Source organism: Homo sapiens, chromosome 1, assembly GCF_000001405.40.
Source record: "Homo sapiens chromosome 1, GRCh38.p14 Primary Assembly".
Lineage (NCBI taxonomy): Eukaryota > Metazoa > Chordata > Mammalia > Primates > Hominidae > Homo > Homo sapiens.
In genome coordinates this window covers 149,964,190-149,988,932 of record NC_000001.11, presented here as the reverse complement: position 1 = coordinate 149,988,932, position 24,743 = coordinate 149,964,190, and the positions used below count along the sequence as shown (strand labels likewise).

The following is a 24,743-nucleotide window of genomic DNA, read 5'->3' as shown; positions in this document are numbered from 1 at the left end:
TGTGTTTTGCTATTAGCCTAGTCTCTTGATTTATAGTGTTTTTTTCTCTTGTGTGAAAAATTCAATGATTAGAATCTTTAATAGGTCAAGTAGAACTTTTGTTTTTGCAGGTTATTCTTTTAAAAGTTGAATTTGTTGAGAGCCCAAACCTTGGACTATCCTTGGCCTTAGTTGAAAGGAATAAAACAGTTCATTGTGTGTTGCAAATAGACATGCTGGTCTGGATCTAAAAAAAATAAACATTGACATGATTCTTGTTTCTATTTAAGCTACTATTGTTGTGCCAATATTATAATAACAGACTTTCTGTATGACTCTCCCTGCCCCCATTTTCCCAAAGATTACTTCCCTTTTGCAAGTCTTCCAAATTATTAAATTTCCCAAATAACTGTAATTTAAGGAGCCTTTATCAGTAGCACTGAAGAGACAAATGCCAATTTCCAAGTTCTCTGTTCACTAGTCCCTGATCTTTATATTACCCTTTGGTTATTGATGGGATTTGTCTGTTGGAGTTTTATATCAGGCCTGCTGTTTGTAGGCCTGATACAAAACTAGAAATTCTTGAAAAAATAGTTAAATTTTTTTCTGACACACACACATACTAGTGGTAGTGATGAAGCCACCAGGGACTAGTTCCTGAGACCTTAATGTTGTGTATCCACAATAGCATATGATAAACAAATAAATTGTTTTGGGAGTGGTTATATGATTGAGTTGAGATTTTTTTTTTTATTCCATGTTTGACTTAGGGGGAGAAAGTAGACATTCCCAAAGTATATCCTGCATTAGAGGTAGAAAACAACCCAGAAGTATGCAGGGTGAGTAGAAGGATATGTAAACATTTCCTTCCAATAATCAAAAAAATAGATAATATACATGAGATTAAGAGACTATTACAAAATCTTTGAACCTGGAATGAGTAGAAGTAGTAAGAGGTACAGGTGGGGGAGGTAGGATTGGTAGATTAAGACATTGGGATTCCAGTAAATATGTATGAAATTGCTGTTCCTGGAGATTTGGGAATGAATGAGCTATGTAGCTGTGTACATCTAGGAAGGGACAGACACTTTTCTTTTGCTGTTATTTTTGAGAGACCATCTGGTGGAAGGTACAACTAAGGGACCCCCTTTAGGGTATTTTCTTGAAGGCTTGAGTTGAAAGACACTGGATTGGAAATGATGGGCTGGGCACTGTGTGTATGTGTCAAGACTCTGTTTTGGAAATGGTCGTGGGACTGAAGGGTTTGTTTGGGAGGGGTAGAGGAAGCTTTTAAAGGAAAGATACAGGGAGGGGGCTATGTTGGGCACCAGTGGAGTGAGAGTGTATGGAAATGAATTGGGCAGAAAGAAGGCAACTGACAATTGTTGAGGATTTATTGTATATCAATAAGCTGCCCTAAGGCTTCACGTATGTTATTTAATCCTAACAGGAGGGCTGAAATGCATACATTTCCCCCATTTTATACATGAAGAATCTGAGGCACAAAATGGTTATATTACTTACCTATGATTACACAGCCCTTAAATAGTAGCTCTGGGATTGGAACCAAGATCTGTCTGAATCCAGAGCCAGTTCTTTCTTCTGATGTGGAGTTGAGAGGAGTTGAAGCAGTGAGGGTGGACTTCCACATGGTGGACTGCCCGTGTTTTCTTAGTCCTCCTCCCTGGACAAAATGTGGCATTGTATGTGAGCGTATGTTCTCTGGAGTCAGCTGGGCTGGGTTGATAAAAATCCTGGGTCTGCCACTTTTACCTGTGTTGCCTTGGGCATATTACCTAACCTCTGTGAGCTTTAGTATCTTCATCTGTGATGTGGAGTAACAATACCAAGTTCTCAGAGTTGTTTGGAAGTTTAAATGAAATAATATCTAAAGCTTTAAAACATATTACTTTCTTTCTCTTCTTACTTTGAGACTCATCTTGTTACTTCTGGATTGTAACATTTAGTGTTATATAGATCCCTTTAGAGTAGGATTGGTCTGGATTCAGGACTAGATCCACAGATAAAAGAAAAAAGAAAAAATATAGTAAAATTGGTCATATTTTCTAAGAAGGTTATATTTTGTTTCTTTGACTTGAAGGACCCATATTAACTAAAAACAAATTGCCAAGACAATTATTCATCTCTCCCTCCCACCTAATCAAGAATTATGTGAAAGTTCTAAGTGCCTCTGTCCCTCCTCTTTCTCTCTGTCTGGATTCCTTGGGACTGACATCATAGACATGGAGGAGTCTCTGACTTTTTAAAGTTTTTGACAGTCTTGAATGTTGTGGTTTTCCAGTGAGTTATGGGAAGAGTTGGAGAGGACTCAAATGCAGCTCTAATGCTTCAGTGGAATCAGGAGACGGTTAGAGAGTGAAACTCTGGAAGCTTTGGGGGATGTTGTAAATGAGAGAATGTACGGTCAGTAGTTTCTCTGGCATTTTAATAGAGGGTTATTATCCATGGTCTTTAATTTTGGGTCATTTTTCTCTGTTATTAAGTAAGTTGGACACTTGGAATATGCAGACTGATTTTAATATTACTCTGAGCTAAACAATGTTTAGGAAGAGAAATTTGTTGCAAATAAAGTCGTATAACAATCTTAAACATATGTCTTTGAGATGAGTTACTGTTTTAGACTTGTCTGTGTACAACACTGATAGACTATCAACAGTACTGTGTGTGTGTGTGTGTGTGTGTGTGTGTGTGTGTGATGGGGTACCATACAAATATACTTCAGTTCATCTGAACAAAAATTGCCTGCTGTGCTTGGATGCTGGGGAATATTGGATGAACAAGCCAAGATTCCTGCCCTCAAATTGTTCCTGGTTTAGTGGGGAGACAAACATGTAAATAAACACAACTACCATGCAGGGTGATAAACATTATGGTAGAAGTAGCATACAGGGTGCAGTGGGGGCACCAAGAAAGAAGTGGGCAATTTAGGAAGTCAGAGAACTTTTGCAAATGAGGTAGTACTTAAGTTAGTTTTAAAGAAGAGGTGAGAATTCACCTGCTACACCTAGGAGTTACTCCAGTTAGAGGGAACAATATGTGCAAAGGGACTGAGATTTGAAGCACATAGTACACTTCGGGAACTCCCAGTACAAGGAAGGGAATAATGGGAGGTAGAAAAGGCTGGAGAATTAGGTAGAGCCAGATCATGAAGGGCCTTGTTTGTCCTGTATAGATTTTTTTTTTTTTCATACAGGGTCTCACTGTGTCCCTCAGGCTGAGTGCAGTGGTGCCATCATGGCTGACTGCAGCATCAACCTTCTGTGCTCAAGTGATCCTCCCACCTCAGCCTCCTGAGTAGCTGGGACTACAGGAGTGCACCTCCACACCCGACTAATTAAATTAATTAATTAATTTTTTTGTAGAGATGGGTTCTTGCTACATTGCTCAGGCTGGTCTTAAACTCCAGGACTCAAGTGATCCTTCCTCCGTGGTCTCCCAAAGTGCTAAGATTATAGGTGCAAGCCACCAGGCGTGAGCCAGCATGCCCGACCCTGTATAGGAATTTGTTTTTTTGTTTGTTTATTTTGAGATGGGGTCTCGCTCTGTCGCCCAAGCTGGAGTGCAGTCGCATGATCCTGGCTCACTCAACCTCCACCTCCCAGGTTCAAGTGATTCTCCTGCCTCAGCCTCCCGAGTAGCTGGGATAAAAGGCACACACCACCACGCCTGGCTAATTTTTCTATTTTCAGCAGAGATGGGGTTTCACCATGTTGGCTAGGCTGGTCTTGAACTTTTGACCTTAAGTGATCTGCCCGCCTCGGCCTCCCAAAGTGCTGGGATTACAGGTATGAGCCACTGTGCCTGGCCTCTGTATAGGAATTTGAGTCTTAGGCTTTAGCCATTGAAAATCCATTGAAGAATTTAGAACAGTGGGATGTAATACTATAATACTGGCATTTTAAATTGCTCATAGTGGTTGCCTGTGGAGGCCAATCAATTGACGGAGAGAGGTAGAGGGAGGAGTTAGGGAGCTATTTCCTGGGGTGCAGGTTATGAAAACCTGAGATAGAATAAAAGAGCTGTAGCCTGTGGAAGGTTTTGCAGGGATTTGAGAGATATTTAAGGTAAAATTAGTAAAACTTAGTGAAAGATTATTTGTGTGGATAAGGCAAGAGAGAAGTCCAGGGCGGCTCCCTGGCTTGTGACTTGGATGATTGGGGACTATTTGCTACAATAGGCAGTACTGGAAGAGGAATAGTTTGAAAGGATGGGAGACAGAGATGAGAGAATAAGCTCATGTTTTTATATACTGAATTTTAAGTGCCTGTATGATTCCCAGGTGAGGTGGAAAGAATTTGGGGGTGCAGATACATTTGGAGTCATGAACATTTGGGTGCTTAGGGCTGTGAATGAAGTTTCAATGAGAAGATGGAAGGCCTAAGGCTAGAATGGTGGGTGCACTAAGTTTGGTTCAGTCACAGAAATGGGAGTCCACAAAGACGACCAAGACACAGGGCCAGAGAAGCAGGAAGAGTGGTCAGTAAGTGTCAAATGCTACAAAGAGAGCAGAAGTAAGGATGATTGTGTTCATCTTATATATAAGCCAGTGCCATTCTCTTTCTGCAGAAGCCTATTTTTGTAGGTTGAGGACAAGGAGATTTGCAGGGAAGAGGAGAGTAACCGCCAACAAATAGGAGCAGGGGAGGAAACCTAAAGGAACCCCTCTTGCTTTGCTTTGTAATTTTTTTTTCTGTGAAGTAGGAGGCAAGGTCATTTGACAGGAGTAAGGGGAGGTGATGTGGCTTGGGTGGGAGGCTCAAGGAGCATGGTGAAGGTATGGGATAGTAGCTCAGAAGATTGATTGAGGTACTAAAGCAAAGATAGCAGTGTTTCAATAAAAGCAAGGTGGCTGAATAACATGTTAGTAGTCATATTGCTCTGCAAGGTTAGCAGGGAAGTTAGAATGTGGGATCCATCCAAGTTGGACAGATGAAATGGATAAGGAAACTAAATTTTCACAGGAAAGTAAATTAGGTGATCAATTATTGGTTTTACTTTGTTAGGTAAGAAGAGATAAAGTGGAATCTATCCATTTCCCTCAACCTTCACTGCTTTTATCCTGGTTTAGCGCTATTTTGCAAGAATTTTCTAATCAATTCTCTCCCTAAATCCACTGTGCTTCTTCCAAACTCTTCACATTGTAACCAGGGTGATCTTTTAACAATTCACATCTGATTATGTTCTACCTCTGCGTGCAACCTTTCAGTGGCTTCCCATTATATTTAAGATAAGATCTCAAATCTTTAACAGGGTCCACTAGGCCCTCTCTTCATCCTCCTGTAGCAACATTCTCATCTTTATGTTCCTTCCTGCCACGGAAGTTTAGCGCATGTTTCCTCTGCTTGGAGCGTTCTTCCTTTCCCAATTTGTCTCTCCAATTGCTGCTTAATCTTAATTAATCTTAATTCATAGATGAAACATAATTTCCTTGGGGAAGCTTTTCCTGACTCCCTATAGGAGATAACACTCCCTTCTCTAACATTGCTTTATTATAATTGTTTGTGAAAATATTTGAAAAGATTATGAAAGGCAGAAATGTTAGATGAATTGTGCAGGTGGTTGTTGAAATTGCTCAGGAAGATGGTAGGATTTTGTGGTTTTTTCCTCCATGCTGGAAGCTTTTGAGGATAGGGATTGTGTCTAGTTCACTGTTGTGTTTTTACTCATGAGCATAGTGCCTCACACAAAGGCACTCCAAATACTTCTGTTGAATTAATGAATAAGGTGGTTAAGAGACTGGATGTCTTAGTGAGCAGGCAGGTTTAAAAGTACAGAGGAGGCCGGGCGCAGTGGCTCACGCCTGTAATCCCAGCACTTTGGGAGGCCAAGGCGGGTGGATCACGAGGTCAGGAGATCGAGACCATCCTGGCTAACACGGTGAAACCCCCTCTCTACTAAAAATACAAAAAAATTAGCTGGGTGTGGTGGCAGGCGCCTGTAGTCCCAGCTTCCCAGCTACTCGGGAGGCTGAGGCAGGAGAATGGCGTGAACCCGGGGGGCGGAGCTTGCAGTGAGCCGAGATCAGGCCACTGCACTCCAGCCTGGGAGACAGAGCGAGACTCCGTCTTAAAAAAAAAAAAAAAAAAAAAAAGTAAGAGAGGAGAAGCTGGAAGGAGATGAGGTTGTGGCCAGAGTAAAATGTTTGAGTTTAAGATTTAGAGGTGGAATGGTTTCAGGACATGGCAGGGTCCAGGTTTGAGTTGTTGTTGTGGAGGTGGTCTTAGTATTAGAAGAGATAATGAAATTCTAAGGCAGAAATGTTAGGCGAGTTGTGCAGATGGATACTGAAATTGCTCAGGAAGATGGTAGGATTTAAAGTTATTTAAGTGCCTTTGGTCCTAGCTACTCAGGAGGCTGAGGTGGGAGGACTGCCTGAGCCTGGGGGGTGGAGGTTGCAGTGAGCCAAGATCAAACTCCTGCACTCCAGCCTGGGTGACAGAGCTAGACCTTGTCTCTAAATAAATAAATAAAGTTATATAAGGCAGGTGTTTAAGTCTTTGATAAATACGAGAGATAGGCACAACCTTTTCCTATGGTGAACAAATTAAATGGGCAAGAATCAGGGGAGTTCCAGGAATCAGTAATGCATCCCCTAGTATGGTACAGTGAAAGAGCATGGGTTCAGACTATCTAGGTTCAGACTTTTGGCCACCTACCTGACTTTTGAAGTCTTTTTTTTTCTCTGTTTATAAATTGGGAATAATGAGACCTGCTGCAAGAGTTTTGTCATTAATGAGTAAGAATGTTTTTATTTTTTATATTTATTTATTTATTTATTTATTTAGAGATGGAGTCTCGCTCTGTCGCCCAGGCTGGAGTGCAGTGGCGCGATCTCGGCTCACTGCAAGCTCCGCCTCCCGGGTTCACGTCATTCTCCTGCCTCAGCCTCCCGGGTAGCTGGGACTACAGGCGTCCGCCACCACGCCCGGCTAATTTTTTGTATTTGTAGTAGAGACAGGGTTTCACCGTGTTAGCCAGGATGGTCTCGATCTCCTGACCTTGCGATCCACCTGCCTCGGCCTCCCAAAGTGCTGGGATTACAGTCGTGAGCCACTGTGCCTGGCCGAGTAAGAGTGTTTTTAGAAGTGCTTAACTAATATTAACTTGTTAGTTTTTATTCTTGACTGCGTCATTACTTCAAGATGGTCTGGAAGTGGAAGTAGGGGTGAGAGGCAAAGATAGCAGAAGCGAATTTTGAACAACATAATTTATTCAGCCTGTTAAGTTTATACAATGAGGTCAGCACAAATATTTATGAATGAATATAGGTACAAGCAAGTACTGATATAAGACAGGATTTTGTAAAATAAGGCCACTGTTTGGCTCATAACAACATCATGATGCTGATCTACAACAAATGTTTATGTAAAGAAATGCTTTGTCTAACAATTTTGCATGAAAATTCCATCATCCTTGGGAAGTAGATTTTATTGTCCTGGAGAACAGAATCAAAACCGGTATGTGAAAGTTATAGTTGGGGTGTGAGGCTGGTGATAGCTTTTGTTTTAGTTTAGAAAAGCATTTTCTAACAGTTAAAGCTGTCCAGTAATAAAGTAGACATTATAGCAAAGTAATGAGGTCCCTGTCAGACCTTGTATCCAAGTGGAGACTATGTGATTTGTCAGAGATGTAATAGAAGGATTCTTGCATGGGGGCAGGTATTTGGATTACGTAATTGCTAAAGTCCCTTTCAGTTGGAAGATGATGCCAGGTGAGAGCTGTCTTTACACCATTCAGTTAACAAATAGTTGAAAACCTCCTCTGTTTTATTTGAAAGGTTGAAAGCCACTGCTTTTCTTCTTCTCCCCCTCCCCCTCCTCCTCCTCTTCCTCCTCCTCTTCCTCCTCCTCCTCCTCCCTGAGACAGAGCCAAAAACTGTGTGTTTGGTTTGCTTTTTTTTTTTTTTTTTTTTTTTTTTGAAACAGGGTCTCACTCTGTTGCCCAGCCTGAAGAGTAGGGGCACAGTTGTCGCACACTATATAGCCTTGACCTCCCAGGCTCAAGCAATCCTCCCACCTCAGCCACTCACGTGGCTGGGACTACAGGCACACACGACCATGCTTAATTAGTTTAAAAAAGGTTTTTAGAGACAGGGTCCCACTGTGTTGTCCAGGCTGGTCTCAAACTCCTGGGCTCAAGTGATCCTCCTGCCTCAGCCTCTCAAAGTGCTGGGATTACAGGCATGAGCCACTGTGCCCAGCCCAAACTTTTTGTTTTTTTCGAGACAGAGTCTTGCTCTGTCGCCCAGGCTGGAGTGCAGTGGTGCCATCTCAGCTCACTGCAACCTCCACCTTCCTGGTTCAAGTGATCCTTCTGCCTCAGCCTCCCTAGTAGCTGGGACTAGCCACCACACCCAGCAAATTTTTGTATTTTTAGTAGAGACAGGGTTTCACCATGTTGGCCTGGCTGGTTTCAAACTCCTGACCTCAGGTGATCCACCCTCCTCGGCCTCCCAAAGTGCTGGAATTACAGGCGTGAGCCACTGTGCCCGGCCCAAACACTGTGTTTTAATCATTGGTTTGATATCTCCATTTGGAATTTGAAAAGCTTAAGCAAGGTATTAGTGGTGATGTAACAAAAGCTGTTGTTCTCACCTGTTGGGTGGGGTTAGGTCAGGGTCCACAGCATGCACCTGGAGACATCAAATGTAAGAATGTGCTGTTAGGAAGTTTGGCTTAGTGCTTCAAATTTTTGCTAAAGAGCAAGGCATTCTAGATAATGTTGAACCTCTAAATTACTTTGTTAAAATGTTTTTTGAGAAGAATAGCCTGTGTGCTGTGTTGACATGTGAGATCTATGATGCCATAACACTAGTTTTCATTCACTTCTCTCACCCAGAAGACTGTCTGGCTGTGAAATTGCCTGTATGCCTATGGCTTAGTCAACTCTTTTCCTTTTTGCTGAGCACCTGTTTGTGATTACTATTTTGTGTACTTATTGTATATTTCTCACATTCTTTCAGAAAGTTATTAAAATGGCTTTACAGTTGCGTTGCTTTTTTTTAAAGAGAGAAGATTGAAATTTATTTTGCAGCTATACACTTGGTTTTGGATTATTCATGTGTATAAGTTATTTGAGCTGCTACCACTTCCTCTGACCTAAGGCTGTGGCTAAAATGGGTTTGGAGAAGAAATTCTTGCCTGTACTGGGGGGTAGGGGGAGGATTCATTCATCTATTAATTCTGAAGGAATTTAATTCCTAATTCCTGAAGGTAAGGGACTTGACATTTTGAATTTGAATTTGACATTTGAATTTGACATTTTGAATTTGACATTTTGAATTTGAGGTATCTTAGACCAAAAGTTCTTTATGTATTAGTAATTCTTTCTGATAATTATGATGTTGAAACTCAGGTAAATTTAAAATTGACAATATCTAGAATGATAGTCAAAGATCATAGATCATGAGGCTATAGTGAACTGAAGAAGTTTATTTTTTAAACCTTGAAAGTATCTTATGAGTCATCTAATACAAGTCTAGATTATAGAAGAGACAACTGAAACCCTGTAAGTAATTTGACCAAAGTCACCTAGTTAATACATATAGGTGTATGTAGGTAAACTCATGTAGTGTGAGGGAGGTAAGAGTTGTGACAGCATGGTTGATGTCCCTTTGGAAAGGAGAGTTTTTAAAACTTAGAAATAGAATGGTGATAAGAAGTGCCGTAGAATTTCTGATCTGCTAAGCTTCAAATTGGTTGGTTTGTTGGTAGCTGATGTGGAAATTGGCTTAGTCATTGAATCATTTATTCATCAGGCATTTGACTACCTACCATATTATAGATGCTACACTAGATGTTGGAGTTACAAAAATGAAGAAATCGTGTCCCTGCGCTCATGGATCTCTTGTACTATTAGAACAGGACAAGAGAGAAAAATTTCTATTTTGCCATCTTTCTCTGTCTCAAAAAAAAAAAAATCCAGTGTTAGCAAGTTAGTGACCTGCTGGTTTTATAACCCACAAATCTTTTTTGTTTATTTGCCTTGCCACTTTTTGCCTTCAACAATTATGCTTTGACCTTTCCCAAAAGGCAGGGGATTGGTGGGTATGGTAGGGCAAGTGTACCTGGCAACTTAATGAATGAGTCTTCTATAGAAAGCTGTAAACTTGGCAGAATTTGATCAGAGATTGTTCTTTACTCTGTTATTGCTTCCCTCTGACTTTTAACCTCAGAGGAATGTTGGATTGGTGCCAGGCTGTCAGGTTAGGGACATAGTTTCTGCCAAAGTCTGAAAGAAGAGATCTTTTTCAGTTGAACTTATTTGACAGTCATCTGTCCTGTGTGGAGAAAGACGTGTTTGGAGTAGATGTGTTTCCTGGGTTCAAGAGGTTAATGGACAGAGATTGAATCTTGTTATGAACCTTTTGGGTCCCCACTCTGCTTTGTGGAATAACTTATTCTTTAATTTAATTTAAGTTAGTTTTTTGAGACAGTCGCTCTTTTGACCAGGCTGGAGTGAAGTGGTGTGATCTCGGCTCACTGCAACCTCTGCCCCACGTAGGTTCAAGGGATTCTCCTGCCTCAGCCTCCCGAGTAGCTAGGATTACAGGTGCCCGCCATCATGCCTGGCTAATTTTTGTATTTTTAGTAGAAACAGGGTTTCGCCATGTTGGCCAGGCTGGTCTCAAACTCCTGACCTCAGGTGATACACCTGCCTCGGCCTCCCAAAGTGCTGAGATTAAAGGCGTGAGCCACCGCACCTGGCCTAATACTGTATTTTGAGTAATTTTAGCTATCAGTTTACTCCTCTGCTAGCATCAAAACACTAGTCAACTCTGAAATTATCCAGTGTATAGTAATTGTTCATTCACTCAACAAATATTTATTGAGGGCCAGTGTGCCTAGCACTGTGCCAAGTGATACGTGCAGGGGATACATTAGTGAAGGAGACATACAAGTTTCCTGCTTTCAAGAAACATATATTAGAGGAGATGGCTAGACAGCAACTAATTAAAATAATTTGAGAGTATTCAAGTGCCAGTAAGGAAATACACAAAGGTGCCATGTTAGAGACTATTGCAGGTGGGGAGTTCTTTAGGGTGGTAGCCTGTTGCTTCCTTCTTTAGTTTGGGTAAGCAAACTCATGGTAGAAAAGCAGTACTCAGGAAAAGTACAGGAAAAGCATTTTTCAGAGTGGTATTACAGGTTCCTGGTTAATGTAGATGTTGAGATGTTAATGAAGAGTTAGGAAATAAAATGTTACTCTTCATAATTTTAAAGTGCTGTATTTTAAAATTCAACTGAAATGAATGAGCTAGGATAGTTTCCCCATTTGGTTAGGAAGCTGCTGACATGGGACTGTGATTATCCTGTTCCAGTGTAATTTGAGCCTTATGTATTTATTTATTCCTCAGGTGGAGGCCTGAATTTTGATCTATGTTCTACCTACATCCAGCTGGCTGAAAGTACTTGAGGATCACATGACCCTGGACATGGATGCTGTTCTGTCAGATTTTGTCCGTTCCACAGGAGCAGAGCCAGGGCTAGCGCGAGATCTCCTAGAAGGTGAGGAGTTGTAGGGGAGAATGAGAAAAGAGAAAGTAAAATGTGGTATTTATCATTAGGATGATTTGGACCATTTAAGGTGATCAGGAAGATACTTTGTGTAGGTTAGGCCCTATAGTTAATTCTAATGATATACTTTGTGTATAACCCGTCATAATTAGAAATTTTAAAATCCCTTTTTCACCTTGAACTTACTGGGGTAGTTTTCTCCATTGTCAGTTTATGCTCAGGCAATGCAAGTGAAATTTTATATTAGTCCATTACAAACATAATTTTATTTTATTTTATTTTATTTATTTATTTTTGAGACAGAGTCTCGCTCTGTTGCCCAGGCTGGAGAGCAGTGGCATGATCTTGGCTCACTGCAGTCTCTGCCTCCCAGGTCCAGTCAATTCTCCTGCCTCAGACTCCTGAGTAGCTGGGATTACAGGTGCCTGCCACCACACCTGGCTAATTTTTGTATTTTTTAGTAGAGATTAAGTTTCACCTGTTGGCCAGGCTGGTCTTGAACTCCTTACCTCAGGTAATCTGCCTGCCTCGGCCTCCCAAAGTGCTGGGATTACAGGCATGAGCCACTGTGCCCGGCCTAAAAGCATAATTTTAGATCTGTAAGACTTCCTCTTTATATAGAAGTGACTTTAGGGTTTTCATGATGGGATCATCCATGGTTTTGTTCTTTCCTTACATAACATACATTATGGGTAATTCTATGTTGAGTGAATCAATTTAATGTTTTCATTTTGCTGCTTTTGTTTACTTATATCTTTATACACATAAGTTTGAATGTTCTAGTATTTTTTTTTTTTTTTTTTTGTAGACGGAGTTTTGCTGTTGTTGCCCAGGCTAGAGTGCAATGGTGCGATCTCGGGTCACTGCAACCTCCTCCTCCCGGGTTCATGCAATTCTCCTGCCTCAGCCTCCGGAGTAGCTGGGATTACAGGCATGCACCACCACACTCAGCTAATTTTGTATTTTTAGTAGAGATGGGGTTTCTCCATTTTGGTCAGGCTGGTCTCGAACTCCCGACCTCAGGTGATCCGCCTGCCTCGGCCTCTCCCAAAGTGCTGGGATTTCAGGCATGAGCCACCATGCCTGGCTGAATGTTCTAGATTTTAAGGTCCTGAAGGGTTAGAATCATGTCCCTAGGATTCTGTTTAGAGTCACAAATAATAGATGAAAATATGTAATGACACAAACAGGCAGGCCTATGGGGAAGGGGCAAGTTCTTAGCATACATAGGTAATATTTTAAATTGCCAGCCCTTAGCAAGGTGTGACAATTAGACATTTGCTTGGCTACCCGTGAGGAGAGCATGAGTTTGGAAACAGAAGATCAGGGTTTAAATTCCAGTTTAGTAATTTAGTACAACTTTGTCCTTAATTTGCATTTCTTTTTTTTTCTTTTTGAGACAGAGTCTCACTCTGTCGCCCAGGCTGGAGTGCAGTGGCGCGATGTTGGCTCACCACAACCTCCGCCTCCCAGATTCAAGCGTTTCTCCTGCCTCAGCCTCCCCAGTAGCTGGGACTACAGACGCGCGCCACCATGCCCGGCTAATTTGTGTATTTTTAGTAGAGATGGGGTTTCACAATGCTGGCCAGGCTGGTTTCAAACTCCTGACTCGTGATCTACCCACCTCAGCCTCCCAAAGTGCTGGCAGGCATGAGCCACCCTGCCCAGCCTAATTTGCATTTTTAGTTTCTTCTCCTACTACTTTTCCCTATACTTCCTATGCAGCCAGGCCTGACTTGTCACCTCTTGGTGATCATGTTAGGTTACTTCCTCAGTCTGGAGCATTTCTTTCCTCTATTCTCCTCATCCTTCAAGATTCAGCTCAAATGTTTCCTCTTTCATAAAATCCTTAACCTTTCTGCATTCCTCTTATAACATGTGTTGAACACTTATGAGTGTTCAATATGTGCAACGTACTTGAGATATGTTATTTTATTCTCACAACCACCATACAATAAAGTTTTATTATCCTGGAGTTAATAATTTTAAAACCTGAGGCTCAGTGAGGTTTAAGTAGGATTTGAATCTAGGCAATCTGGTTTCAGAGTATGGCTGTAAGCAATTATGTTACAAATTATTGCTAGCATGCTCACATGTGTGCACACACACATACACTCATGCTGTGAAAGAAACATTGAGGGTGCTGTGAGAGTGAAGAAAGAACCCTAACTTAGATCTAGAGTGCAGGAAGGCCTTTTCCGAGGAGTGATTTTTAAGCTGAGCCCTGAAGGACAAGTAGGAGCAGCAAGACAAAGGGATGTAGAAGAGAGTGTTTATGCAGAATAAACAGTTTATGCAAGGGCCCTAAGGTGCAAGAGAGTTTGGCACATTGGAGAAACTATTAATAATGAGGTAGTAAGAATGGTGCAAAAGTGGTAGGAAGCTGGTGAGATAGGCAGGAAGCAGAAAATAGGGGCTCTAGCCAGGTGTGGTGGCATTCACTGTAATCCCAGCTACCTGGGAGGCTGAGGTGGGACGGTCGCTTAATTAAGCCCAGGAGTTTGAGACCAGCCTGGGCAACATAGCAAGACCTCATCTCTTAAAAAAAAAAGAAAGAAAAAGAAAGAGGCTGGGTGCAGTGGCTTATGCCTGTAATCCTAACACTTTGAGAGGCTGAGGCAGGCGGATCACCTGAGTTCAGGAGTTTGAGATCAGCCTGGCCAACATGGTGAAACCCCGTTTCTACTAAAAATACAAAAATTAGCTGGGTGTGGTGGCGGGTGCCTGTAGTTCCAGCTGCTTGGGAGGCTGAGGCAGGAGAATCTCTTAAACCCGGGAGGCAGAGACTGCGGTGAGTCGAGATTCTGCCACTGCACTCCAGCCAGGGTGACAGAGTGAGACTCTGTCTACAAAAAAAAAAAAAAAGTTAACTAAGAAAAAAAAAGAAGAAAAATAAAAGAAAAAAAGAGTGTAGGGCCTTTGTAGGCCATGACGAGGAGTTTAAATTTTATTCTAAGTTCACTAGGAAACTGGTGAAGGATTTTAATCAGGGGAGTGACATGATTGGATTTGAGTTTTTAACAATGTACTTGTAGAGAACACTCTGGCCAGAGAAGAAATGATTAAAACAGTTAGGAATATTGCCTTAGTTCAGGTGACAGATGATGATGTTGCAGACTATGGTGGTAGCAATAGATAGAAGGAGGTGGAATTAAGATAATTTAGAAGGAAAAATACAAAAAACTTAGGTGGGCGTGGTGGCACATGCCTGTAATCCCAGCTACTCAGGAGGTTGAAGCGTGAGAATCGCCTGAACCCAGGAGGGCAGAGGTTGCAGTGAGCCGAGATTGCACCACTGCACTTCAGCTTGGGTGACAGAACGAGACTCCGTTGAGTTCAAGACCAGCCTGGCCAAGATGGTGAAACCCTGTCTGTACTAAAAAAATAGAAAACTTGGCCGGGCGTGGTGACGCGTGCCTGTAATCCTAGCTACTCGGGAGGCTGAGGCAGAGAATTGCTTGAACCCAGGAGGTGGAGATTGCAGTGAGCTGAGATCATGCCACTGCACTCCAGCCTGGGCAACAGAAAGAGACTCCATCTCAAAAAAAAAAAAAAAAATTAGAAGGGGCATAAAAGGACCTCATCCTCATTTTCTCTCTGTTGCTTGTTTTTTCTTTTAAAAGTTAACTGAGGCCAGGTGCGGTGGCTCACACCTGTAACCCCAGCACTTTGGGAGGCCGAGGCAGGTGGATCACCTGAGGTCAGGAGTTCGAGACTAGCCTGGCCAACAGGGTGAAGCCCCATCTCCACTAAAAATACAAAAATTAGCCAGGAATGGTGGCACGCGCCTGTTATCCCAGTTACTCGAGAGGCTGAGGCAGGAGAATTGCTTGAACCCAGGAGGAGAACGTTCCAGTGAGCCGAGATCGTGCCACTGCACCCCAGCCTGGGCGACACAGCAAGACTCCATCTCAAAAACAACAATAACAACAACAACAACAGTTAACTGATTGTATTTCAATAGGACTATTTGATTTTTGTTTTGTTTTGTATGAGATGGGGTCTCACTCTGTCACCCAGGCAGGAGTGCAGTTGTGTGATCTCAGCTCACTGCAACCTTGGCCTCCTGAGCTCAAGTGAGCCTCCCATCTCAGCCTCCTGAGTAGCTAGGACCACGAGCACACACCACCACACCTGGCTAATGGGACTGTTCAATACTGATAATTGAAAATGAGAGAAAGAAATCAAAAGTAAACTATCGTATTATAAAGAACAAATTAGAAAGGAAAGAGATTAGGAGCAGAGAGACCAGATAGAGAATTCCTTCCTAAAAGACCAAAGACTAAGTAAAGATTATGAGGACCTCAAATGGGGCAGTGGCAATAAAAATGGATAATAAGAAATGGATTTGAGAGATGTTTTAGGGGTACAAATTGACTTGGTGGTGAGGGAAGAGGAAGAGTGCAATCTGAGGAAACTTGAGGAGCTAAAAATGACTGAAGTTTCAGGGCCTGGAGGGATTGTGATGCCATTACTGATTTAGGGAACATAGGAAGAGGAGAAGCAGCAAGTTTTGGGAAGGAAAATGATGGATACTCAATTTGGCCATGTGGATTGTTAGGAAGACCTGATTTTAAGGAGATTTGCAGACAGTTGGAAGTATAGATCCGATGCTCAAGGCAGATGTCACTCGTTCATGCATTGATTCAGGAGAAGAGTTATCCATTAATTCAACAAATATTTATTGAGTGACTACTGTGTGCCAGGTACTGTTCTAGATGCTCCAACAAAACAAAACAAACAAAAATACCTGCCTTCATGTTCTAGCAGGAGAGAGGGTCAATAAACAACAAATGTGATAACTAAGTAAATTATAAAGTATATTATAAACTGTTAAGTGCTATGGAGAAGAGTAAAGGGAATGATGAAGTGGGTTGTGATTTTTAAGTCAGGGTAGGCCTTACTAACAATGTGATGTTTAAGCAAATACCTAAAGCTAATGAGGAGTTGTCTGTGTGGATATATTGGGGAAAGAGCCTTCTAGGTAGAGGGAATAGTCAGTGGAAAGGCCCTAGAGTGAGAGTGGACTTAGCATGTTCTAGGAACAGCAAGGTCAGTGATGACTGGAACAGAGTGAGCAAAGGGAGTCAGAACAATTGGCTAATGTAATGATTTAGAAGTAAAATCATCAGTAATGATTTAGACGTAAAATTGTGAGTAAAACCAACCACTATTCTAAGTGCTTTCAACTCATCTAATCTTCATAACAGCTCTATGAGGTAGGCACTGCTACTATCATCTGCATTTTCACGGATAAGGAAATTGAAGCACAGAGAAGAGGCCAGAAAAGTAGGCCAGGACATACAAAGCCTTGAGTATCAAGCCAAAGAGCCTGAGTTTTATTCTGTAGGCAGTGGTAAGCCATTAAAAATCTCGATTATGGAACTAAAATGATCACAACTGTGCTTTAGAAAGATTAATCTCATGGGATTCTTTGGAATGGATCGGAGGTAGGACAGTAGGTGATAGGAATTGAATTAAGGTGGTAGTAGATGGAATACAACAGAAAGAAATGTGAGCAATTATACAATGCATATTTGTTGAATAATTTAGCTGGAGAAAGCATCAGAAAAATCCATTATGACAAATCTTATCATTTAAGGTCATTTCTTTAGTAGAATGGTGATTCTTAAATTTGGGGGAAACACTGTTTCCTTTGAAAAGCTGATGACAGCTATGAACTCTTTCACTAGAAAATGCACAAGCCCATGATCTTATATGCAGGTTTAGTGGTTTAGGACACACTAGAGTACATGTAGGCTAAGAACCTCTTTGGATCTCAGAATTAGGAGACCTGGGCCTGAGTCCTGCTGGGTCTGGTGTGAACTAGCTGTGACTTTGGGCAAATAATTTACTTCTCTAGACTTTATCTGTAAAAGGAAGTTTTAATTTTCGGTTACTAGATCTTTAAGGGCTCTTTTAGTTCAGAGGGACAAAGTTTCTATTTTCATGGCACTTACTTAGGAAATAGACAACAAATAAGTAAGTAAAGACATTTGATAAGTTAGATTGAAGTGTTATAAAGAAAATTAAAGCAGGGTAAGGAAAAGAAGAATGATTATGTGCATGCGTATTTGCATACTGGTTTTGATAGGATAGTTAGTGTGATCTTTGTGTCTCTATACTATGGTTGCACAGTTTGCTTTTTGCTTTGTCTCCTGACAGGAAAGAATTGGGATGTGAATGCCGCCCTCAGTGATTTTGAACAGCTACGTCAAGTCCATGCTGGAAACCTACCCCCATCCTTTAGTGAGGGGAGTGGTGGCTCCAGGACCCCTGAAAAAGGGTTTTCTGACAGAGAGCCTACTCGCCCTCCCCGACCCATCCTCCAGCGGCAGGATGACATCGTTCAAGGTACTGGGGTGACTGGAATGTTTCCGTATATGGAGTAGGAAGGGAGGGGATTGTTAAATGGAGTCATAAAGTCTAGTGATCCATTGGAGGTGATTCCATTTCTTCCCCTTCTCCCAGCCAAACCCAGACTGAGGTGGCCTCAGTCTGCCCAGGTGCTGCAGTCCCTCACTGCGTCTCTGCATCTTTAGTGTTATCCTGTATAAAAGCCTTCCTCAGATACTGTGAAAGAAATAGAGGAAGGAGGATAACAATCTCCTTGTTGATATAAAGTTCACATAAAGGTAGAATTGAAAGAGTCATTACCTCTTTGGGGGGTAATTTGTTAATATTTGCCAATATCTATCAAAATTAAAATGCATATGTACTCTGACTTAGCAATTTCATATCTAGCAATTTATCATATATGTGTATGTGCACATAAGTATTCTCTAAATAAATACATAAGGCCAGGTGCAGTGGCTCACACCTGTAATCCCAGCACTTTGGGAGGTCGAGGTGGGTGGATCACCTGAGGTCAGGAGTTCGAGACCAGTCTGGCCAACATGGTAAAACCCCATCTCTATTAAAAATACAAACATTAGCTGGGCGTGGTGGTACATGCCTATAATCCCAGCTACTTGGGAGGCTGAGGCAGGAGAATTGCTTGAACTTGGGAGGTGGAGGTTGCAGTGAACTGAGATTACACCACTGCACTCCAGCCTGGGTGACACAGTGAGACTCTGTCTACAAAAAAAAAAATAAATAAATGAATAAAAATTAAAAAAAGAAATACATAAATGCAGCATATAAGGATATTCACAGCAGCATTATTTTACAATAATTAAATCTTGAAACTTTTTTTTTTTCTTGAGGCAATCCATCTGACTTGGCCCCCCAAAGTGCTGGGATTACAGGTGTGAGCCACTGCACCTGGCCCTGAAAACATTTAATGTCCATTAGTAAAGGAATGGTTAAGTAAATTGTAATCATCCATGTTGTGGAATACTCTGCAATCATTAGAAAGAATTAGGCAGAACTTGGTGTACTGTTTTGGAAAAATTTCTAAAATCTATTCAGAAGGGGGCTGGGCATGATGGCTCACACCTGTAATCCCAGCACTTTTGGAGACCAAGGCTGGTGGATCACCTGAGGTCAGGAGTTCGAGACCAGCCTGGCCTACATGGTGAAACCCTGTCTCTGCTAAAATTACAAAAATTAGCTGGGCATGGTGGTGCACACCTGTAATCCCAGCTACTTGGGAGGCTGAGGCAGGAGACTTGCTTAAGCCCAGGAGGCAGAGGTTGTAGTAAACCTCTTAGATTGCACCACTGCTCTCCAGCCTGGGTGACGGAGTGAGACTCCATATAAAAAAATATATAATTTTTTTCAAAAAGGTAAGACACAATGCAATGTATGTAGTATACTCTCATTTGCGTTTTAAAAGATGATTTTAAAAGCTGTACATGCATTTTTAGTGGAGATGGGGTTTCACCGTATTAGCCAGGATGGTGTCGATCTCCTGACCTTGTGATCCACCTGCCTCGGCCTCCCAAAGTGTTGGGATTACAGGCGTGAGCCATCGTGCCCGGCCAAAACCTGTATATGCTTCTGTATGCATAAAAATTTCTAGAAGGATACAAAAGTTTGCCTCTGGGGAAGGGATCAGGAATTTTGAATGATAAGAAGACTTCCTTGTGAAATCATTTTATACCTTTTGATGGTATATTGATTTTTTACCATAGGCACATGGTACTGTTTTTGAGGCAGGGTCTTGCTCTGTCCTCCAAGGCTGGAGTGAGGCTGGTGGAACACAGCTCACTACAGCCTAAACCTCCTAGGCTCAAGGGATCCTACTGCCTCAGCCTCCCAAGTAGCTGGGAGCATGGGCACGCACCACCTCACCTAGCTAAATTTTTGATTCTTTGTAGAAATTAGGTCTCACTCTGTTGCCCAGGTGGTCTCGAATTCCTGGGCTCAAGTGATCCTTCTACCTTGGCTTCCCAAAGTTTTGGGATTACAGGTGTGAGCCACCATGCTCAGCCTACGAATACCTAAAAAATATTTTTAAGGTGGGTGTGGTGGCTCACGCCTGTAATCCCAGCACTTTGGGAGGCCAAGGCTGGCAGATCACCTGAGGCCAGGAGTTTGAGGAGAACAGCCTGACCAATGTGGAGAAACCCCGTCTCTGCTAAAATAAAAAAAAAAATTAGCTGGGTGTGGTGGCGTGTGCCTGTAATCCTAGCTACTCAGAAGGCTGAGGCAGGAGAATCCCTTGAACCTGGGAGGCAGAGGTTGCAGTGAGCCGAGACTGCAGCACTGCACTCCAGCCTGAGCGACAGAGCGAGACTCTGTCTCAAAGAACAAAAACAAACAAAACTAAAAAATATTTGAAAAATAACATCACTATAAGATAACTTTAGACAACTCAGTTTATTTTGTGTATCATATCTGGCAAATGTTGTATTAAGAACAGCCCAACATGCTTTTGAAATTTTGCCCCCTTTGGATCATCATTAAATCATTACATAATTGAAGCCATACAAATGAACTGTAATACTACATTGAGCAAATTATAATCACAGTGGAATATCTGCTTGGGAATTACAAGTGTCATGTATTCAAAACAAATGAAATGATGTGGGGTACTATCTACATTATTGTTCTCTATAGACTGTTAAGAATTGACTGTCCCTATAAATTTCTGATAAATATGGGTATTGAGAGTAGTTGTAGTAAGCAATATAAATTAATGTTATTGATGTAGGAAGAAAGTTCCCAAATGTGTAAGATTTGTTGTTGATTGTCTTTTTTTTTTTTTTTTGAAACGGGGTCTTGCTCTGTTGTCAGGCAGGAGTGCAGTGGCACAATCTTGGCTCACTGCAGCCTCCGCCTCCCAGGTTCAAGCAATTCTCCCACCTCAGCCTCCCGAGTAGCTGGGATTATAGGGGCACACCACCATGCCCGGCTAATTTTTGTATTTTTAGTAGAGACAGTGTTTCACCACGTTGGTCAGGCTGCTCTTGAACACCTGACCTCAGGTGATCCACCTGCCTTGGCCTCCCAAAGGATTTTCTTTTCTATAATGGATTTCTTTTATAATCTTTCTAGAATGAAAATACCCTTTAGAAAAGGTATTTCCCAAGACCCTGAGAATTACCAGAGAGGTTATTTGACTAACTCTAGTCTAGTGAAACCTCACTTCCCTTATTCCCTCTCCTCCCACCAAACAATGACCAAATTGCTAAATGAATGGGTCCCTATCACACTGGGAAATATGGAAGTGGAGGAAGACAGTCAGAGGGAGGGGAAGATCAGGCAAATTCCAAACAAGGGCAGAAAGAGGAATGAATAATTTGGTGCTAATGTGAGTGCCTACAAAAATACTGTCTCTATTTCTCCAATTGTATTTGGCTTCAGAAAAAGGGTTCTGAAATTCAGTAGTCAGTTAGACTTAGTTTTTCTCTGACTGTAAACCCTGTTGAGAGGTAACTATCACCACATCAGTGTAGAGTTCTCCAAGTGGGCTGTGTATGTTCTAAGGTGACTCCATTTCTCATTGCAGAAAAACGCCTGTCTAGGGGCATCTCCCACGCCAGCTCCAGCATTGTTTCCCTGGCCCGGTCCCATGTCTCCTCCAATGGTGGGGGTGGGGGGAGCAATGAGCACCCCCTGGAAATGCCCATCTGTGCCTTCCAGCTTCCAGATCTCACTGTATACAATGAAGACTTCCGCAGCTTCATAGAGAGAGACCTCATTGAGCAGTCCATGCTGGTTGCCTTGGAACAGGCAGGTCAGTGAGTGCTTCCTCTCCCACACTCTTCCCTCTACTCTCCACCTACAGGCAGCCTTGTGGAGGGGCTGGACTTGATCGCTAGCTTCCAGTTTAAGTGTGTTATCTGATTGCAAAGTCAGGAGTCAGTGGGATAAACTTGTGCTGTCAAAGAATGGATACAGATTAGATACTTTACTCTGGGAATTTCCTGGTTGATGGAAGAGAAACCAGATACACATGTGAAAAGGCCTAGGAATCAATACCTCGAAATCAATACATGAAAAAAATACAACTAATTATAATTGGCCCTGGAACACCCTTGTGAACAGAAATGACCAATGCTGTAGATGATGCACAGTAGTGAACCTATCCCCCCAAATGTATTTACGTTTGTAATTGTGTTTATCTTAAATTATTGTTAAAATTAATTCTTATCATAGGGTGAGGCAGCTGGGAATTTTGGAAAAGCTAATCAGGCATTAAAATGCTTGTGTGGGATAAGAACTGGAGTTAGATGAGGGCATGGAAAGGAAGCTTTTATTTTTCATTTTGTAACCTTCTATATTAACCATATACATCTATTTGTAATTTTTTTTTAAGTTGGTAAATTATCTGGTCTGGGGAGTTTATAAGCCAGTTTTTCATTCAGTAGTTCAAAAACTATGCTCCACAGTAGTTCAAGAAAACTTATGCATCACTCATAAGATATTTTCCTCATGTAAATAATGGGTTGGCAATTGTGGGATGACTGCATGGAATTAAGACTTATTTTCTTGGATATTTTATGTACTTTATCTTATTGCTCATTCCTTTAAAGTCACACCCCACACGTGATGACATGCTGTCATATATGCAGATGATACTCATAAAACACCTTAAATACATGCTTTGAGTTGTTTTTGTTTTGTTCATGATGGATTTTTGCTGAGCTTTGTTGCTGTGATACATACTGGTCTCCTGAGTGGAGGGAAGGAATCAGGGCCAGTCCAAGCAGTCAACAGTTTCAACTTATGTCCTTGGCCTCGTCATTTAACCCAGGGTTTCTCAACCTTGGCACTATTGACATTTTGGTCTAGATAATTCTTTGTTTTGCAAGCTGCCTTGTGCATTATATCATGGTTAGCAGCATCCCTGGCCTCTACCCATTAGATACCAGTAGCATCCTGCTACCAGTTGTGACATGCAAACATATCTTCAGTCATTGCCAGTGTCCCTTTGGGACAAAATTGACCCTACTCACTGATCTAACCAATTGTGCTCACAAGATTCTGACTGACTAGATATAAGTGAGGAAGATATAAAGAGTAATCAAGTGATGGTTTTATTCTGGGTAGGCCTCCTAGAGGAGGCTGCTTTGGAGTCTGTTTCAGAAATAGGAAGGTGGAAGGGCTTCATGGATAATCTCCTTTTCCTCCACTATCTTGTTTCTACAGGGCGTTTGAACTGGTGGGTGAGTGTGGATCCCACCTCTCAGAGGCTGCTTCCTTTGGCAACTACTGGAGATGGGAACTGCCTCCTGCATGCAGCCTCCCTTGGTGAGTCTTGAAAGCAGTCCTCCATTCACCTGCAGAAAGGAAGCAGTTGAGTCAAATCTCATGTGTAGGACTTGATCCAGATAACCTTGATCTTAGGCGGAAATGATGGTTCAGAGCGAGATTGTGCATGCTTACGTGTGTGTCTGTGTGTTTATGTTGGCACAAGAGGAAATGGGAGTGAGCCCTACCTTTGCTAGTGAGATAGTGAAGAGAGCACAGATATTAGCTTGGGCTGGCTTTGAAAGCTGACCCCAGGAGTAATGAGTAGGAGTAAGCCAGCAGTGTATAGCTAGATGTGTGTATGTGTACAATTCTACTTAATATTTATTCTTTTGTTGTATGAAAAAGGTATGTTTTTAGCAGTCCTTTGTAACACACACTTACTTTATTTTATTTATTTATTTAGTTTTTGAGACGGAGTCTCACTCTGTTGCCCAGGCTGGAGTACAGTGGTGTGATCTCAGCTCACTGTGACCTCCACCCCTGGGTTCAAGCGATTCTCCTGCCTCAGCCTCCCAAGTAGCTGGGATTACAGGTGGGAGCCACCATGCCCCACTGTAAATAGGCTTAATATTTAAAGTAAGGGCTGGGCTCAATGGCTCACGCCTGTAATTCCAACACTGTGGGAGGCCAAGGTGGGCAGATCACTTGAGGCCAGGAGTTTGAGACCAGCCTGGCCAACACGGTGAAACCCCATCTCTACTAAAAATAAAAAAATTAGCTGGGCATGGTGGCAGATGCCTGTAATCCCAGCTACTAGGGAGGCTGAGGCAGGAGAATTGCTGAATCCGGGGGCCAGAGGTTGCAGTGAGTGAGCCGAGATCGCACCACTGTACTCCAGCCTGGGCAACAAAGCAAGACTCTGTCTACAAAAAAAAAAAAAGGTCAGGCGTGGTGGCTCACGCCTGTAGTCCCAGCACTTTGGGATGCCAAGGTGGGTGGATCACCTGAGGTTGGGAGTTCGAGACCAGCCTGGCCAACATCGTGAAACCCTGTATCTACTAAAAATACAAAAATTAGCCTGATATGGTGGTGGACACCTGTAATCCTAGCTACTCGGGAGGCTGAAGCAGGAGAATCTCTTGAACATGGGAGGCGGAAGTTGCGGTAAGCCAAGAACACACCATGGCACTCCAGCCTGGGGGACAGAGTGAAACTCTGTCTCAAAAAAACCAACCAAAAAAACCCATAAAAAACCAAATAAACAAAAAATTAAGTCAATTTACAACTTAATATATTATTTGCAGCCTGGTGCCATGGCTCACACCTATAATCCCAGCACTTTGGGAGGGTAAGGCAGGGGGGTCACTTGAGGCCAGGGGTTTGAGACCAGCCTGGCCAACATGGTGAAACCCCATCTCTACTAAAAATACAAAAATTAGCAGAGTCAAGCTGAGGTATCTTACCATTATGCTTTTTTGCCACAGGAATGTGGGGTTTCCATGATCGGGACTTGATGCTGCGGAAAGCTTTGTATGCACTGATGGAGAAGGGAGTTGAGAAGGAAGCGTTGAAAAGGCGCTGGAGGTGGCAGCAGACACAGCAGAATAAAGAGGTGGGAGAGCGTGGGTGGGAGCGCCTTGTTTC

The 24,743-nt window shown here is 42.3% G+C and overlaps 1 protein-coding gene across 12 annotated transcripts in view; it reads left to right on the top strand.

Annotated features, from left to right (window-relative positions):
• The window catches only part of OTUD7B (OTU deubiquitinase 7B), a 129,842-nt gene that overhangs the window by 78,721 nt on the left and 26,378 nt on the right, over positions 1 to 24,743 (top strand). For 10 of the 12 annotated variants that reach the window (XM_047425721.1, XM_047425716.1, XM_047425712.1 and 7 more), the window contains exons 2-6: positions 11,357 to 11,507; positions 17,682 to 17,870; positions 21,412 to 21,639; positions 23,055 to 23,156; positions 24,584 to 24,711. In XM_047425721.1, the coding sequence (XP_047281677.1) occupies positions 11,423 to 11,507; positions 17,682 to 17,870; positions 21,412 to 21,639; positions 23,055 to 23,156; positions 24,584 to 24,711 (732 nt within the window). In that variant the 5' untranslated portion in view covers positions 11,357 to 11,422. Of the gene's footprint in view, positions 1 to 11,356; positions 11,508 to 17,681; positions 17,871 to 21,411; positions 21,640 to 23,054; positions 23,157 to 24,583; positions 24,712 to 24,743 lie in introns of those variants that run through there. The other 2 variants (XM_017001850.2, XM_011509788.3) reach the window with 1 other exon arrangement.